This window comes from Homo sapiens, chromosome 20 (genome assembly GCF_000001405.40).
Source record: "Homo sapiens chromosome 20, GRCh38.p14 Primary Assembly".
In the NCBI taxonomy this organism is placed as follows: Eukaryota; Metazoa; Chordata; class Mammalia; order Primates; family Hominidae; genus Homo; species Homo sapiens.
Window position 1 is genome coordinate 47,525,823 of NC_000020.11, and position 17,961 is coordinate 47,543,783.

Below are 17,961 nucleotides of genomic sequence, written 5' to 3' on the forward strand. Positions count from 1 at the left end.
CCCAGTAGGGGCGGCCGGGCAGAGGTGCCCCTCACTTCCCGGATGGGGCGGCTGGCCGGGCGGGGGGCTGACCCCCCCACCTCCCTCCCGGATGGGGCGGCTGGCCGGGCGGGGGGCTGACCCCCCCACCTCCCTCCCGGACAAGGTGGCTGCTGGGCGGAGACGCTCCTCACTTCCCAGACGGGGTGGCTGCTGGGCGGAGGGGCTCCTCACTTCTCAGACGGGGCGGTTGCCAGGCAGAGGGTCTCCTCACTTCTCAGACGGGGTGGCCGGGCAGAGACGCTCCTCACATCCCGGACGGGGCGGCAGGGCAGAGGTGCTCCCCACATCTCAGACGATGGGCGGCCGGGCAGAGACGCTCCTCACTTCCCAGATGTGATGGCGGCCGGGAAGAGGCGCTCCTCACTTCCTAGATGGCATGGTGGCCGGGCAGAGACGCTCCTCACTTTCCAGACTGGGCAGCCAGGCAGAGGGGCTCCTCACATCCCAGACGATGGGCGGCCAGGCGGAGATGCTCCTCACTTCCCAGACGGGGTGGCGGCCGGGCAGAGGCTGCAATCTCGGCACTTTGGGAGGCCAAGGCAGGCTGCTGGGAGGTGGAGGTTGTAGCGAGCCGAGATCACGCCACTGCACTCCAGCCTGGGCACCATTGAGCACTGAGTGAACGAGACTCCGTCTGCAATCCCTGCACCTCGGGAGGCCGAGGCTGGCGGATCACTTGTGGTTAGGAGCTGGAGACTAGCCCGGCCAACACAGCGAAACCCCGTCTCCACCAAAAAAATACGAAAACCAGTCAGGCGTGGTGGCACACGCCTGCAATCGCAGGCACTTGGCAAGCTGAGGCAGGAGAATCAGGCAGGGAGGTTGCAGTAAGCCGAGATGGCAGCAGTACCGTCCAGCTTCGGCTCGGCATCAGAGGGAGACCGTGGAAAGAGAGGGAGAGGGAGACCATGGGGAGAGAGGGGAGAGGGGAGGGGAGAGGGAGAATTTTTGTATTTTTAGTAGAGATAGGGCTTTACCATGTTGGCTAGGCTGGTCTTGAACTCCTGACCTCAGGTGATCCACCTGCCTCGGCCTCCCAAAGTGCTGGGATTACAGGCATGAACCACCACATCCAGCCAGTTCCATATTTTTTAATGAGATTATAAATAGTATTGGATTTTAGATTTCAATTTGAATAATTTATTCTTAGTATATAGCAATACAGTTGATTTTTGTATTTTTGCCTAATATATTATAACTTTGCTAAATTAATTTTAGTAGCTTTTATGTAGTTTGCTTAGGATTGTATATATAGGTGATCATGTCTGTGAATAAAGACAGTTTAATTCCTTCCCTTCCAGTCAGCATACCTTTTTTTTCTTGCTCTATTGTTATGGCGAGTACTTCTAGTACATTGTTGAGTAGACATCTTTGTTTTGTTCTCAGTGTTCGGGGTGAATATTAAGATGTTATGGGTCTGCTGATCTGCTTTGTATTAGTATAGTATTGTTTCTAGAATTTCATATAAATCCCATGTAATCATAAAGTATGTTGTGTCAGCTTCTTTTTTTTCTTTACGTATATTTTGTTGCTGTTGTTGTGTCATACTTCTTTTGCTTAGTCTAATTCCCTGAGATTCATTCATGTTGTTGCATATATGAGTTCTTATTTTGTTTCTGAGTATGTATATAGTATATAGACAATACATATGGGCAGTTTGTTTATTTACCAGTTGAGCAACATTTCTTAGCTATTATGAATAGAGCCGCTGTGAACATTTGAATACAAACCTTAGCGTGGGCAGAAGGTTTCATTTTCTTGGACAAATATCTAGGAGGTGGAATTGCTGGATCATATGGTAAATGTATGTTTAACTTTATAAGGAACTGTAAAACTGTTTACCTGTCTGTTCCATTTTGTGTTCTCACCAGCAGTATAGCCAAATTTCAGTTTTGTAACCTCACCAACACTTGGTATTAATATTCTCCTATGTTTTAGCCATTCTGGTAGATATGTAGTGGTATCCCATTGTGATTTTAATTTGAAATGTCATTCAGCTTCTTTGGTGAAGTGTCTGTTCAAATCTTTTGCCTCCTTTTCCTTTCCTTTTTCTTTTCTCCTCCCCCTTCTGTTTTGAAAATCAGGTTGCTTTTCTGTTACTGAATTCTTAGAAAAAACTGAGTTCTTAGGAAAAAAACTCATTTTTTTAAATGTTCTCGATATCCATCTTTTATTAGATATGGTTTGCAGATATTTTCTCCCAGGCTTTGTTGGTACAATTCTAATTGATCAGCTGAGTCTCTGTAGTAATGCTCCATTTCTTGGTCATATGTATATTTTGAGGAATAACAAGTGTTTTAAAGCTCAAAATAACAGTTATGCTAACATATACTATAAGCTGCATTCTTTAATCCATATATAGGGAAAGAAAAACCTAGATTGTTAATCCGGAACATTTACATTCTTAAACATAGTAAATTGTCTACTGTACTTAACTATGTTAAATACTTTTAAATGGCCTAGAGCTTCATCTTTTTATCTAATAAAAATGAATAAATAATTCCTTGTCTGTTTCATTATTTATTATTACTAACTAAAATGAAAAACTATGAATATATTGGTCTGGTATAAACCTAATGAAAAGTTGCCAAAATAAAAAAACACTTAATCTTGCCTATAAGCTTTTGCCATTGTTCCCTCTCTAACCCTCACTGAAAAACCCAATCTTTATGGCTTACCTCTATTAGTATACAATATATTACTTTTGCATCAAGTATATACACATACTGTCTTGTCTTTTTGTTCTTTCTATGCGTAACTGTTCTACTGACTTGAATTAGGTTTTGAATGCTTGCTGTGTAAGCTGATGAGAAAAAAAAATCAGCTTTACAATGTGATATTTGTCACATTTAGCAATTATATTAAATTATTGTAACACTATATTACCTAAGTATCTACCTGGACACTTTTTTTTCTTTTTCTTTTTGAAACGGAGTTTCGCTTTTGTTGCCCAGGCTGAAGTGCAATGGTGTGATCTTAGCTCACTGCAACCTCCGCTTCCTGGGTTCAAGCAATTCTTGTGCCTCAGCCTCCCAAGTAGCTGGAATTACAGCCACCACGTCCAGCTAATTTTGTATTTTTAGTAGAGAAGGGGGTTTCTCCACGTTGGTCAGGCTGGTCTCGAACTCCCGACCTCGGGTGATCCACCCGCCTTGGCCTCCCAGAGTGCTGGGATTACAGGCGTGAGCCACTGTGCCTGGCTGGACACTTTTTTTTCTTACTCAGGGTGATACTCAACTCAATTTATTTATTTATTTAAAAAAATTTTTTTTCTTTTTTTTTTTTTGAGATGGAGTTTCACTCTAGTCCCCCAGGCTGGAGTGCATCTCAGCACTGCAACCTCTACCTTTTGGGTTCAAGCGATTCTCCTGCTTCAGCCTCCCAAGTAGCTGGGATTGCAGGCACCACCATGCCCAGCTAATTTTTGTATTTTTAGTAGAGATGAGGTTTCACCATGTTGGCCAGGCTGGTCTCTAACTCCTGATCTCAGGTGATCCACCCACCTTGGCCTCCCAACGTGCTAGGATTACAGGCATGAGCCGCCGTGCCCAGCATCTAAAAAACTTTTTTGAGACAGAGTCTTTGTCGCCCAGGCTGGAGTGCAGTGGTGTGATCTTGGCTCACTGCAGCCTCCATCTCCTGGGTTCAAGTGATTCTTGCGCCTCAGCCTCCCGAGTAGCTGGGACCACAAGCGCATGCCACCACACCTGGCTAATTTTTGTATTTTTAGTAGAGGTGGAGTTTTGCCATGTTGGCTGGGCTGGTCTCGAACTCTGACCTCAAGTGATCCACCGGCTCAACCTCTCAAAGTGTTGTGATTACAGGCGTGAGCCACTGCTCCTGGCCTTACCTCAATTTATTTAACAGTCCCCTCACCCAAATGTGAAGATGATAAACAATTCTTTCCTGTCTGAATTATTCTTTCTCTCATGCTGGAATTTTGGAACATTTTACAACTTACATTTAAGAAGGCTAGTTTAAAAAGAAACAGTGGAAATTTCCACCTTTTAAAAAAACTTAATTTCTGGTCTATTAACTGCTTTGCAGGAAGAAAGAAATATGAAGAAGAACCGCAGACATTCTGGATGTCAGCCTGTGAAATTTTCCACTATTTCCCATAATAACATGCAGGCACGCTTATACTGCTGGATTCATTGCAACTGCAGTTGCACTCTGAGTGGAATTTGAAGCTACTCTTATCAGTGATAAAATGGCATGTAGCTTTTAATGAGCAGTGCATATATTTTCACATCTAAGGTATTGTATGTTTGTTTCATCTCTGCCTGAATAGTGTGGCCATAAACACTGAAATTGTAAAATTATTTTTAAAACTTCTGATTCCAAAATTCCTGATTGTTTCAAATGGTTTTGATTGTTTTATTTCAGTAGATTATGTATCTGAGAAGATATATAATCATCCTTTTAGTTACAGTGCTGCATACATAAAATTTTACAGGGTTTTATACATACAGAAGAATGATGAGAAAATTAAAGTTTTAAAAGGATTTGTATAGAGGAGAAAATTGAGACAAAGTTTTAAAAAGATTTGCATAGCTCAGTATTTTGGTTTGATTCAATAAATTTTTAATGATTTAACTTTTTTTTTTTTTTTTTTTGAGACAGAGTCTTACTCTGTCACCCAGGCTGTAGGGCCGTGGCACGATCTTGGCTCATTGCAACCTCCGCCTCCTGGGTTCAAGCATTTCTTCTGCCTCAGCCTCCCAAGTAGCTGGGATTACAGGCTCCCGCCACCATGCCTGGCGAATTTTTGTATTTTTTTAGTAGAGACAAGGTTTCACCATGTTGGTCAGGCTGGTCTCAAACTCTTGCCCTCAAGTGATCCACCTGCCTTGGTCTCTCAAAGTGCTGGGATTACAGGCGTGGGCCACTGCGCCTGGCCAACAATTTTAACTATTTTAGGTTCCTGTTAATCTTTTAAAATGTCAGTAGACTTTATATTAAAATTGATGCTGTGTTTTTGTTTGGCTCCTTGAAATTTAAAGGCAAACAAGGTGTTATTATCCAACTTTTCTAATGATGTAAGTCCAGGTTTCCTAGATCTGTAAACTGGCGTAGCAGTAGGGTGAAGAGTAGATTACAAATACATTGTAATTATCTACCCTGTTTCATCTTTCATCTCTTCCATGGCTAATGCCTAACATTGGTATTAAGGAATAAAATTGAGGAATTTGGCTGGGTGCGGTGGCTCACACCTGTAATCCCAGTACTTTGGGAGACTGAGGGCAGGCAGATCACTTGAGGTAAGGAGTTCAAGATCAGCCTGGCCAACGTGGTGAAGCCCTGTCTCTACTAAAAATACAAAAATTAACCGGGTTTGGTGGTGGTCACTTGTAATCCCAGCTACTCGGGAGGCTGAGGCAGAAGAATCGCTTGAACTCAGGAGGCAGAGGCTGCATGCAGTGAGCCGAGATTGTGCCACTGTACTCCAGCCTGGGCGACGGAGCGAGACTATCTCAAACAAACAAACAAACAAACAAACAAAAAGAAATTGGGGAATTCAAGATATATAAATGAACCTTTAAACTGCACTTTTGCAGAGAGGAATTTAAGGGTTCAAAGTGATGAAACAGATGTATTACAGATATCTTTCTGTGTTTTTACACTTGCACATCACTGACATTTTGGAAGTAAAGCCATATTAATGCAGAAGTATATCTCTTCTGGACTGTTGGGCTAGATTTGAGCAAGAATAATGTTGTGACATAACAGTGTTCTCCATCCCTTCCCTGTGATCTGCTCCTCCCTTGTACAGTCTCATCCTTCCTCTTGACCTTTCCTGTATCTATAACTTTTCTCTTGACCTCTTCATGCACTTCCCCTTCTCAGCTTTCCTCCAGTCTGCAACTGTCTTATCCCTTCCCTCAGCCTAAATTTCCGTCTGGCTTGTAACCTTTTTACCTCTGTCAACTTTCCATCCTTCAGGTCCCTCACTTTTTCTGGTTTCTCACTGTTAACCAAGGTCTTTTCTTTACCTTTGGAAGCTTCTTTACTGCGTGTGTTCTCTGCTCCTGTCAGATTGATTTTTGTTTAGTCCTTGACCCCTCAAACGTGTACATCCTCACACCCTCCAAAATCCTTTAACTTTCATTTCTTCTTCCATGCTTTAATTTATTCTGCAAAAATTTATTGAGTGCTAGCCATGTGTTGCCTATTCCTTAGATGTTAGGAATATACCAGTGACTAGAAAGGTTACGGAAAAAAAATAAAACTTTGTAGGGGGGGACTTGTGTGTGTGTGTGTGTGTGTGTGTGTGTTGCAGGGTTTACGTTTTAGATATCATGGTAAGTTTTGCTAAGTAAGTGATACTTAAACAAGGACACCAGGAAGTAAGTAAGCCCTGAGAATATTGGGTTGGGGTAAGGTTGGGATGGGGAGCTTTCTGTTTAGAGGGAACTACCAGTGGAAAGGCCCTTTGTTAGGAGCATTCTTAGTGAATTTGAAGAACAGCAAGGTGACCAGTGTTTTGGAGCACAGTGTTTGGAGGACAGTGAACAAAGACGTAAGTAGCAAGAGAAATCTGAGAGGTAACAGTGAGGCCTTGCAGACAGTTGTAAGGACTTCAACTTTAAAAAAAATTCATTTTTTAAAAAATAGCATAATAGCATATAAATGCATGGTTTCCATTATTTTCTTTTTGAGATGGGATCTCATTATATTGCCCAGGCCCAGGCTGGTCTAGAACTGCTGGGCTCCCACCTCAGCCTCATGGGTAGCTTGGCCTACAGGTGAGTGTTAAGACGTGCAGCTAATTAAAAAAATTTTTTTTTCTTGTAGAGACAGGTCTTTTTTGCTGCCTAGTCTAGTCTTGAACTCCTGACATGAAGCAATAGTCCCACCTCAGCTTCCCAAAGTATTGGCATTATAGGTGTGAGCTATCATACCTGGCTTCCTGCAGATTTTTTAATTGTATTTTTGGTTATTCCAAAAAGATCATTTGGCTGGGCACGGTGGCTCACACCTGTAATCCCAGCACTTTGGGAGGCTGAGGCGGGCGGATCACTTGAGGTCAGAAGTTTGAGACCAGCCTGGCCAACATGGTGAAACCCCGTCTGTACTACAAATACAAAAAAATTAGCCACACGTGGTGGCGGGCGCCTGTAATCCCAGCTACTCGGGAGGCTGAGGCAGAGAATTGCTTGAATCTGGGAGACGGAGGTTGCAGTGAGCCAGGATTGTGCCATTGCACTCCAGCTTGGGCAACAGAGCAAGACTCTGTCTCAAAAAAAAAAAAAAAAAAAAAAAAAAAAATTAACCGGGCGTGGTGGCAGGCACCTCTGTAATCCCAGCTACTCAGGAGGCTGAGGCAGGAGAATCATTTGAATTTGGGAGGCGGAGGTTGCAGTGAGCTGAGAACACACCACTGCATTCCAGTCTAGGTGACAGAGCCAGGTTCCGTCTCAAAAAAAAAAAAAAAAAAAAGATCATTGATTTTTTTTTTTCTTTTTCCCCTTCAAATTAAAGCATTTCTTTTTTCTTTGGTTGTAAAGGTGATTAATTCATGTTCATGTGGAAAACATGGAAAATCCAGAAAAGTACAAAAAAATAAGGATTACTAGCAACCGCATCATCCATTATTAATAGATTTTGTATGTATATCTTTCCAGTCTTTTTTTCTTTGTTCTTTTACACATACACAGTGCCTTATACAGTATATGGGTTTAGCAGAGATTAAATGAACTCTATCAGGGTCTTCATAAGACCCTCCAGCAGTCATGTGAAGAGTAGCCTGTAAGAGTGCAAGGGTAGAAGCAGGGAGAGCTAGGCCAGGTGCACTGGCTCACACTTGTAACCCTAGCACTTTGAGAGGTCGAGGAGGGTGGATTTCTTGAGCCCAGGAGTTTGAGACCAGCCTGAGCAACATAGATCCTATCTCTACAAAAAATGCAGAAATTAGCCCAGCATGGTGGCAGGTGCCTGTGGTCCTAGCTTACTGGGGAGGCTGAGCTGGGAGGATTGCTTGAACCCAGGAGGTTGAGGCTGCCGTGAGCTGTGGCTATGCCACTGTACTCCAGCCTGGGCAACAGAGCAAGACCCTGTCTCCAAAAACAAAAACAAACGAAAAAACAAAACACAAAAAACCCAGGATGACCTATTAGAAGGCTGTTAGAGTAATCCATGTTGGTTTAGACTATGATTATGGCAAGAGAGGTGATAAGAAGTGGTCAGATTGTATATATCTTCTTTTGAAGGTAGAGCCAACAGGATTTTGTGATGGTTTCAGTGGGGGGGGCGGGGGGTGAAGAGGGAAGAGAAGAATCAAGCATAATTCAAAAGTTTTTGGCTTGAACAACTAGAATTGTTTGGCTTCATTTTCTTGTCAAACTACCCATCCAAGGCTCTTTTATTGTGTCCTTCCTGTCCATTTGAACTTGGGATTCTTTAAAAAAAAAAAAAAAAAGATTTATTTGCTCTATAGAGAAACCAAAGCATGAACTTGTGATTATTTCTTTCACCAGGCTTCTAGTTTGTGCTGTCCAACTTGGTACTTGGTACCCACCACAAGATGCTATATATAACAAGTGTTTCACTAGCATTAGTCTCCCTAACTGGGTTGTGAGCATCCTTTTACTGGATCATGCTGAATTTGAGTCTTTTCAGGGACCTGTAACTTTCTGAGTACGTTGTGGACGTTCAGAAAATGTCTATTTATTGTATGTTTTTCAGGCTTAAGAATAAGATATGAAAAAACCTCAAAGTAACTGTCTGCTTTTACTTTAGATTACTGACATCTTTTGAGAATGTGTTTGGGCCAGATGAGCTGGTTCACACCTGTAACCCCAGCACTTTGGGAGGCTGAGGCAGGCAGATCACTTGAGCTTAGGAGTTCAAGAGCAGTCTGGGCAACGTGGCGAAACCCCATCTCTACCAAAAATCCAAAAAATTGTCTGGGTGTGGTGGCGTGCACCTGTAGTCCCAGCTGTTGGGTGGCTGAGGTGGGAGGATCGGTTGAGCCTGGGAAATGGAAGTTGCAGTGAGTAGAGATCATGCCATTGCACTATAGCGTGGGTGACAGAGTGAGACTCCATCTCTCTCTTTTTTTTTTCTTAATTTATAAAAAAAGGTGTTTGGATAGTTATTTTCCTTATATCCAGTGTAAGAATCATTACAAGGTCTGGCTGTGTTGCCCAGGCTTGTTTTTTTTTTTTTCTTTTTAAATAATTAGCGTTATTATTATTCTTAGTTTTTGAGTCAGGGTCTTGCTTTCTTGCCAGACTTGAGTGCAGTAGTGCAGTGGCACAATCATGGCTCACTGCAGCCTCAAACTCCTGGGCTCAAGGAATTTTCCCACCTCAGCCTCCTAAGTAGCTAGGCTCACTTCTTCCGTGCCTCGCTGCCCAAACCCCTAGGGGGAGCATGCAGACGGACAGGTCGTGAGGAGTGTTTTTGGGCTTTGACTCCATAGCAGCATCTAGGGTTGAGTGTTTCCAGCTCCTGAAGCCCCAGTGGCCGTGTGTTACAGTGTGCTCTTTCAGTTTTGTGGTCTACAGGTGGCTTGTGCCAATCAGCTGAGTTACACTCTCTGCCTTATCGCAAGGATAGAGGGCTCTCTGTATCCCAGGTTCTTGCCCTAGTGTGCTGGAAAGATCGGATCACACACGGACTTGGAGAATGAGTGCAAGGTTTTTTTGCTTTTTTTTTTTGAGACCGAGTCTCACTCTGTTGCCAGGCTGGGGTGCAGTGGCGCAATCTCGGCTCACTGCAGCCTCCTCCTCCCAGGTTCAAGTGACTCTCCTGCCTCAGCCTCCCGAGTAGCTGGGATTACAGGCATGCACCACCACATCTGGCTAATTTTTGTATTTTTAATAGAGATGAGGTTTCACCATGTTGGCCAAGATGGTCTTGATCTCCTGACCTTGTGATCCGCCCATCTCAGCCTCCCAAAGTGCTGGGATTACAGGTATGAGCCACTGCGCCCGGCCGAGTGCAAGGTTTTATTGAATGGTGGAAGTAGCTCTCAGCAGATGGATGGGGAGCCATAAGAGGGATGGAGAGGGAAGGTGATCTTCCCCTGGAGCTGGGCTGCCCAGCAGCTGGACTCTACTCCGACCACCCCCTATCAAATTCTGCATCAACTTAAATGTAGATGGCTGGCTGGCGCTGCTGGTGTCTGTCAGTGTGCTGTTCTGCTCCTCTGTTCCTCTCGATGTCCAGCCGCTTGTGTGTGTGTCTGCTTAAGGTCCTGGGCTTATATGAGCACAAGATAGGGGGGCATGGCAGGCCAAAAGGCAACTTTTTGGGTGCGTAAACAGAAATGCTTGTTCTCACTTAGGTCCGTGAGCACAGGCCCGAGGGTGGAGCACTCACCATGTACCCTACTCATCTCTACCCAGCACTTACTTCCCTGCCCTTCTCCCATATCAAGACTACAGGTGTGCACCTACATGCCCAGCTAATATGATAAAATTTTTTTGTAGAGAGTGTCTTGCCACATTGTCCACACCTCAAGTGATCCTCCTTCCTTGGCCTCCCAAAGTGTTGGAATTACTGGCATGAGCCCCCTATCCGGCCAGTGAATGTTAATGCTTACCTGGTATATGCAAAGCATCCTAGGAGATAGAAAGTTTTGCAAGAAAAGGTCCCTGCCCAAAAAGGAGCTTATTTTTTGGTGCAGACAATATATCCTATACACATTTTGTCTCCTTTACAGGAAAATAATGTATTATCATTTACTGCAAAACAAATTGTTGTCATGCCTTTGTCATTCTAAAGCTTGTAGGGGCTCTTTGCCTCTTTATTAAGTGATGATTGATATCTGTGCTTTGAGTTCTTATTTATTTGTTTTTAAAATAGAGATGAGTCTCACTTTGTTGCCCAGGCTGATCCCAAACTCCTGGTTTCAAGCCATCCTCCTGCATGGGCCTCCTAAAATGCTGGGATTACAGGTATGAAGCCATTGTGCCCAGCCTCACTGTTTTTTTCTTTTTTTTTTTTTTTTTTGAGACAGTCTTGCTTTTTCACTCAGGCTGGAGTGCAGTAGTGCAATCTCGGCTCACTGCAACCTCCGCCTCCTGGATTCAAGCAATTCTCCTGCCTCAGCCTCCTGAGTAGCTGGGATTACAGGTGTGCGCCACCATGCCCGGCTAATTTTTTTTTTTTGTATTTTTAGTAGAGACGGGGTTTCACCATGTTGGTCAGGCTGGTCTCAAACTCCTGACCTTGTGATCCATCCACCTCGGCCTCCTAAAGTGCTGGGATTACAGGCGTGAGCCACCGCGCCCGGCCTGTTTTGTTTTAAGCAAAGAAGTTCTTCATATTTATAGATGCTGTCTGGTTTAGAGGATATGCTATCTATCCATATACAACTGAGTTCTCTACATTTCCTTGGTCTGGAAGGGACTAAATCTTTTAGACAAGGAGAAGGAAAGTTGGTAAAAGTAGTGCTTTTCAGTTACGTTCTTTACTTGTAGCGTTGTAAAGAACTTATCAGAGAAGTAAATTGAGTGTAATTTACTTTTGCCTGTGGTCATCACTTCTACCTCTTAATGGAGTGTTTTTCTATAGAAAGGTTATAGAATGTAACTCAAACTTTTATTTTTGTGATAATCGGCGGGGGTGGGGGGGGGAAGTGTTGGGAAAACAGGTGTGAGCCATTGCACCTGTTCTATTTTATATTCTGCTAGGAAAGAAAATGTAAAACTGCCAAATTAGCTAGTTCAACAAATGACCACCTATAAAAACCAAGGGGTTTACATAGGGTTTTTTTTTTTTTTGAGATGGAGTCTTGCTCTGTCGCCCAAGCTGGAGTGCAGGTGGCACGATCTCAGCTCACTGGAACCTCTGCCTCCCAGGTTCAAGTGATTCTCCTGCCTCAGCCTCCTGAGTATCTGGGACTACAGGTCCTTGTCACCACACCCGGCTAATTTTTTCTACTTTTAGTAGAGATTGGGTTTCACTGTGTTAGCCAGGATGGTCTTGATCTCCTGACCTGGTTGTGATCTGCCCGCCTCGGCCTCCCAAAGTGCTAGGATTACAGGCATGAGCCACTGTGCCTGGCTGTTTGTTTGTTTGTTTGAGACAGAGCTTTGCTCTTTCTCCTAGGCTGGAGTGAAGTGGCTCAATCTTGGCTTACTGCAACCTCCACCTCCTGGGTTCAAGTGATTCTCCTGTCTCAGCTTCCTGAGTATCTGGGATTACAGGTGCCTGCCACCATGCCTGGCTAATTTTTGTATTTTTAGTAGAGACAGGGTTTCACTATGTTGGCCAGGCTGGTCTTGAACTCCTGACTTCAGGTGATCCACCCACCTTGGCCTCCCAAAGTGCTAGGATTACAGGCATGAACCACCGCGCCTGGACTAATAGGTTTTTAAGCTCTAACTTTGGGGGAAAAAAACCCAAGATGATTAAAAATGTCCCATTTAGATGATCTTTAGTTGACTTGACACAAGTCTTTTGGTCTGGACTGCTATAGTAATTCACGATGTGGTTTTTTTAGGCACTGCGTTAGAAGCGAAGAATAATATTAATTTATTTGGGGTAGAGAGTAGTGGTGAACCTGACTTGTAACATTCTGTTTAAGAGAGTCTGATGTTCCAGTCTGTAACTGCAATTGGAAGAGCTTTGGAAAAATGATTTGTGGACACATAAGATACTTTTTAAAAACATAATTTTCTCTGCCTCCTTAAAGAAGTTTGTGTTTCTTAAATAACCAGCATTATTACTATTCTTTTTTTTTTTTCTTGAGACACCTGTCACCCAGGCTAGAGTGCAGTGGTGTGACCTCAGCTCACTGCAACCTCTGCCTCCCGGGTTCAAGTAATTCTCCTGCCTCAGCCTCCTGAGTAGCTGGGATTACAAGATTACAGGCGTGTGCCACCATGCCAGTCTAATTTTTGTAATTTTAGTAGAGACAGGGTTTCCCCATGTTGGCCAGGCTGGTCTCGAACTCCTGACCTCATGATCCTCCCACCTTGGCCTCCCAAAGTGTTGGGATTTCAGGCGTAAGCCACTGTGCCCAGCCACTATTCTTCTCTTTCAGATGAATCTAAAAGATGTTTAGTTTTCAGAAACTGGAGAAGATGTTATATTCTCACTTTTCCCTGTTAAGTTTCAGCATCTGTTCTGGCTGTTTTACTTTTTCTCAAACCTTTTATTTAGAACAAAAACTTGGATGAATTGATTTCAAGACTTCACTTTGCCTTTGGGTAAGGTTTTCCTTAGTGGTTTGCCTGAGTTGTGTTTTAGTATCTTTCTTGGGTTGCTTAGCTTTTTCAGCCTTTGGGACAATCTGTTGACTTAGTTGTGAATTTTAGCTTTTCATTTCTTGTGCCATAGAATTTGTATGTGCTGCCAGGCATGGTGGCATGTTCCTGTAGTCCCAGCTACTTGATAAGGTGGCTTGATAAGCTACTTGATAAGGTGGTAGGAGGTAGCTTGATCCCAAGAGTTTGAGGCTGCAGTGAGCTCTGGTCATACCATCGTACTATATGTAGCCTGGGTGACAACGATACCCTGTCTCCAGGAAAAAATAAAATAAAAGTTATGCTAATAGAACATAAACTATTTGAGGACTGGGAGGTATCTGTTTTGTTTACTGCTATATCCTTAGTGCTCAGAATGGTGGCAGACACATAGTAGGTACTCAAATATTTGCTGAATAAATTTAGAGTAGCAGTAGCAGGTTTTTATTTATTGAGCACACACTGAATGGCAAAGTGCTAAGCTCTTTGAATGGATTTGGTGGTTTTTCCATTTTATAGCTTGTTTTCTGTTCATATGATAGTTTATGAATGGGTGTGAGGGAGGAAGGAGGAGATGAAGCCAGCGTTGTTGAGGATGCTGCTAGCTATTACCAAATTTCATCAAGTTTAAGATACCATCAATTATAGAACACAACATTATTTTACGTATTACTAGGTCTCAAACTCCTGGCCTCAAGTGATCCGCCTGCCTTGGCCCCCCAAAGTGTTGGGATTACAGGTGTGAGCCACCGCACCCGGCCTATTTTATGTACTACTGGGAAAGAAAATGTAAAACTTTCAAATAAATAATTGGATACTGCCAATAACATGACATATTCTGATTTTAAAGATGTAAAAATATGAACAAACCCCAAAATATTTAAGGGATACTAGTTTTACATAAACTCTCATTTAACAATCATGAAACCTTCTAGAGTTGGATATTACTATCTTCATTTGAGAGAGGAGGAAATTGAAGCTCATGGGTTAATTACATAAGCTCTCCAGTAGAGGATCCAGATTGAGGTCTCTCAGATTTCGGAGGCCATGCCCTTTTTACCACCCTACATTGCCTTAGGAGTCAAGGAAATAAAATAGTACATTGGCCTGTATGTCAACTTTGGCTTGAAGATAGTCAACTTTGGCTTGGAGATACTTAGTTGGCATGGCTTTAAACATTTTCTTTGAAATGGATTTTTCCTATTTTTCCTTAAAATCAAATATCTTGGCTGGGGCGCGGTGGCTTACACTTGTAATCCCAGCACTTTGGGAGGCCGATGAGGGTGGATCATCTGAGGTCAGGAGTTCGAGACCAGCCTGGCTAACATAGTGAAACCCCCCTCTACTAAAAATACAAAAATTAGCTGGGCATGGTGGTGGGTGCCTGTAATCCGGCTACTTGAGAGGCTGAGGAAGGAGAATCGGTTGAACCTAGGAGGTGGAGTTTGCAGTGAGCTGAGACCGCAGGATTGTACTGCAGCCTGGGCAACAAGAGTGAAACTCTTGTCTCAAAAAAAAAAAAAAAATTCAAATATCTTTGTATTTACTCTGTGCTAGCTACTCTGTGGGTCTGTGTGTATACAAAACAATATAAGGTCTTATCTCTTCTTCTCAAGGAATTTATAGTCTGTTTGGGGAGATGAGAACTAAACATGAAAGATAACTAGAGAAGATTTAAATAACATTTCAGAGAATAATGCAAGAGGTTTAACAAGGCAGTGAAGGATTAATTGCCAAATAAATTGTACAAATAATTGCTTTTGGAGTTCAGAGGAAGAAATGATTGTTTGGGGCTGGGGTAATCTAGGGAAGGATGTAAATGAATTCCTGGGAGATATTTTCAGTTAGTGAGATTATTTACTTTACCTTTAAAATCATATTAATGTTTGTTACAAATGGAACTGCAAACTGTTTGAACATGAACTATTGTATCTTAATTTTTTTAAATCTCCATATGAGAGTGCAGGAGCTACTACCCCAGAGAAAAGTAGATCATGCTTTCTACATGTATTTGCTTCTATTGTATCAAGTAGATGGAGAAAGTACTCAGTTTTAGAAGAAAAATCTTTGGGTGAAAAAAAAGAGGAACTCCCTGTCCCTAAATTCCTTCAATGTCACTCTTGCCACGTTTTCAATCAGTTGTACTTTGTGAGTCATTGCCGAGGTCACTTTTTGTGACTTGTAGCATTCATGATTAACTTCTAAAGGGTGGAAACAAGCATTAATCCCCTTTACATCACTAATGTTCTCTCTGTCCCCCCTCCCCCTCCTTTCCCCACTCTCCCCTCCCCCCTCCCCTCCCCTCCCCTCCCCTCCCCTCCCCTCCCCTCCCCTCCCCTCCCCTCCCCTCCCCCCTCCCCTCCCCTCTCCCCTCCCCTCCTTTCTCCTCCCTTCCCCTCTCTCTCCTCAGGCTCAAAGGATCCTCCCACCTCAGTCTCCTGAGTAGTTGGGACCACAGGTGTGTGTCACTGTGCCCGTTTAATTTTTAAATTTTTTTGTAGAGATGGGGCCTTTCTATGTTGTTGCTCAGGCTGGTCTCGAACTCCTGGCCTCAAGTTACCCTCCTGCCCTCAAGTTACCCTCCTGCCTTGCAAGGCCTCCCAAAGTACTGGGATTCCAGGCAATACTCCTTCATACCGTTTTGAAGCAAATACTAGACATTATATAATTTCCTTAAGTATCTATAAAAGATACAACTGTCTTTCATAAAAAGCAAACTCTACATTATTACATCTAGAAAACCTGCATTAATTTCTTAGTAGCATCAAATACACAGTCACTTCAGTTTTCTAGTTCTCCTCATTTTTTAATTTGTTGGAATCAGATTCAAACAAGATGCAGACATTGCAATTTGGTTTTTATGCGACCTAAGTTTCTGTTAATATAGGTTTTCTCTTCATCTCTTTTTTCCTTCCAATTTATCAAATTATTTTTTGCCCTGTAGAGTTTTTTTTTTTTTTTTTTTTTGTTGTTGTTGTTGTTGGAGGGACAGAGACTTATTCTGTCACCCAGGCTGGAGTGCAATGCTGTGATCATAGCTTATTGTAGTCTCAAACTCGTTGGCTCAAGCGATCCTCCCACCTCAGCCTCCCAAGTAGCTGGGATTAAAGGTGCACACCACCATGCCAGCTACATTAAAATTTTTTTTTTTTTTTGGTGGAAAAGGGGCTCTTGCTATGTTACTCAGGCTGGTCTGGAACTCCTGGCCTCAAGTGATTGTCCTGTCTTGGCCTCCTAAAGTGCTGGGATTACAGGCACAAGTAACCGTGCCCGGCTTCCTGTAGAGTTTCTTATTGTCTGGATTTTGCAAAGTATGTCTTTGTGGTGGTTTTTCAGTGTGTCCTCTGTCCTCTCTCTCTCTATTTTTAAAATGGTAGTTAGCTTTCAAGTCTTGATCAGTTTCTGGTTCAGTTATTTTTTACAAGCATATTCATTATCTGTTGCTGTGTAACAAATTATCTCCAAACTTGACATCTTAAACCAGCATTTATTGGTCCCAGCACCTCAGGAAACTGAGGTGGGAGGACTGCTTAAGCCTGGAAGTTTGAGGCTGCAGTGAGCTGTGATTGCACCTGTGAATAGGCAATTCCTAGGCAAGACCCTCTCTCTAAAAATTGGCCAGGCATGGTGGCTCATGCCTATAGTCCCAGCGCTTTGGGAAGCCCAGGCGGGTGGATCATTTGAGCCCCGGAGTTTGAGACCAGCCTGGGCAACATGGCGAAACCCCATCTATACAAACAATACAAAAATTATCCGGGCATGGTGGCACATACCTGTTGTCCCAGCTACTTGGGAGGCTGAGGCAGGAGGGAGGATGTCTTGAGCTGGGACGTGGAGGTTGCAGTTGGCTGAGAACACACCACTGTACTCCAGTCTGGGTGACAGCAAGACTCTGTTTCAAAACAAAGCAAAATAAACCTCCCAAACTCCTTAGTATTTATTATCTTCCACAGTTTCTGAAGGTTAGGACTCTGGGAGTAGCCTAGCTGGGGAGTTGTGGTTTTAGTACTCTTAATGGGTTGCAGTCATCTGAAGGTTTAACAAAGGCTGGAGGATTTGCTTCCGAGGTGGCTTACTCAGTGACCATTGGTGGGAGGTCTCAGTTTCTGCCTGAGTGTCCTAAAGCTACTGCCAGAGCTAGTGATCAGAGAGAAGGAGAAAAGGAGGAGGGAATTTGAAATGCCTTTGTGACCTCAGAAGTGACAGCTTGTCACTTTTCTTTTGGTCACATAGACCAACTTTGATACAGTATGGGAGGGGACTGCTTAAGTTCATGAATACCTAGAGATGGGTGTCACTGGGGATGTCATCTTGGTGCTGGCTACTACAGTGAGACTACTTCCCAGGGAGTGTGGTTTATCAGAAGACACATGACGTCTGTTTTTCTTTGAGTTGTTAATATTAGCAGATACTATAAAGAAAAACTTTTTCTTTCTTTCTTCTTCTTCTTTTTTTTTTTTCCTTTGGAGAGAGTCTTGCTCTGTTGCCCAGGCTGGAGTGCAATGGTGGGATCTCGGCTCACCGCAACCTCCACCTCCTGGGTTCAAGTGATTCTCCTGCCTCAGCCTCCCGAGTAGCTGGGACTACTGGTGCGCACCACCACGCCTGGCTCAGTTTTGTGCTTTTAGTGTAGACGGGGTTTCACCATGTTGGCCAGGCTGGTCTCGAATTCCTGACCTCAGGTGATCCACCTGCCTTGTCCTCCCAGGGAGCTGGGATT

At 43.4% G+C, this 17,961-nt stretch overlaps 1 protein-coding gene across 4 annotated transcripts in view, besides 1 other annotated feature; it reads left to right on the top strand.

Moving 5' to 3' along the window:
• Positions 1-17,961, top strand: part of NCOA3 (nuclear receptor coactivator 3) — a 154,986-nt gene that overhangs the window by 23,936 nt on the left and 113,089 nt on the right. The gene's annotated exons all lie outside the window — the stretch shown is intronic.
• Positions 3,621-4,121: an enhancer, noted in NCBI's record as "H3K4me1 hESC enhancer chr20:46158187-46158687 (GRCh37/hg19 assembly coordinates)". NCBI's record gives its function as "activates a minimal SCP1, AML or CMV promoter by ChIP-STARR-seq in primed H9 embryonic stem cells {active_cell/tissue: H9 hESC(primed)}" and the evidence as "EXISTENCE:reporter gene assay evidence [ECO:0000049][PMID:30033119]".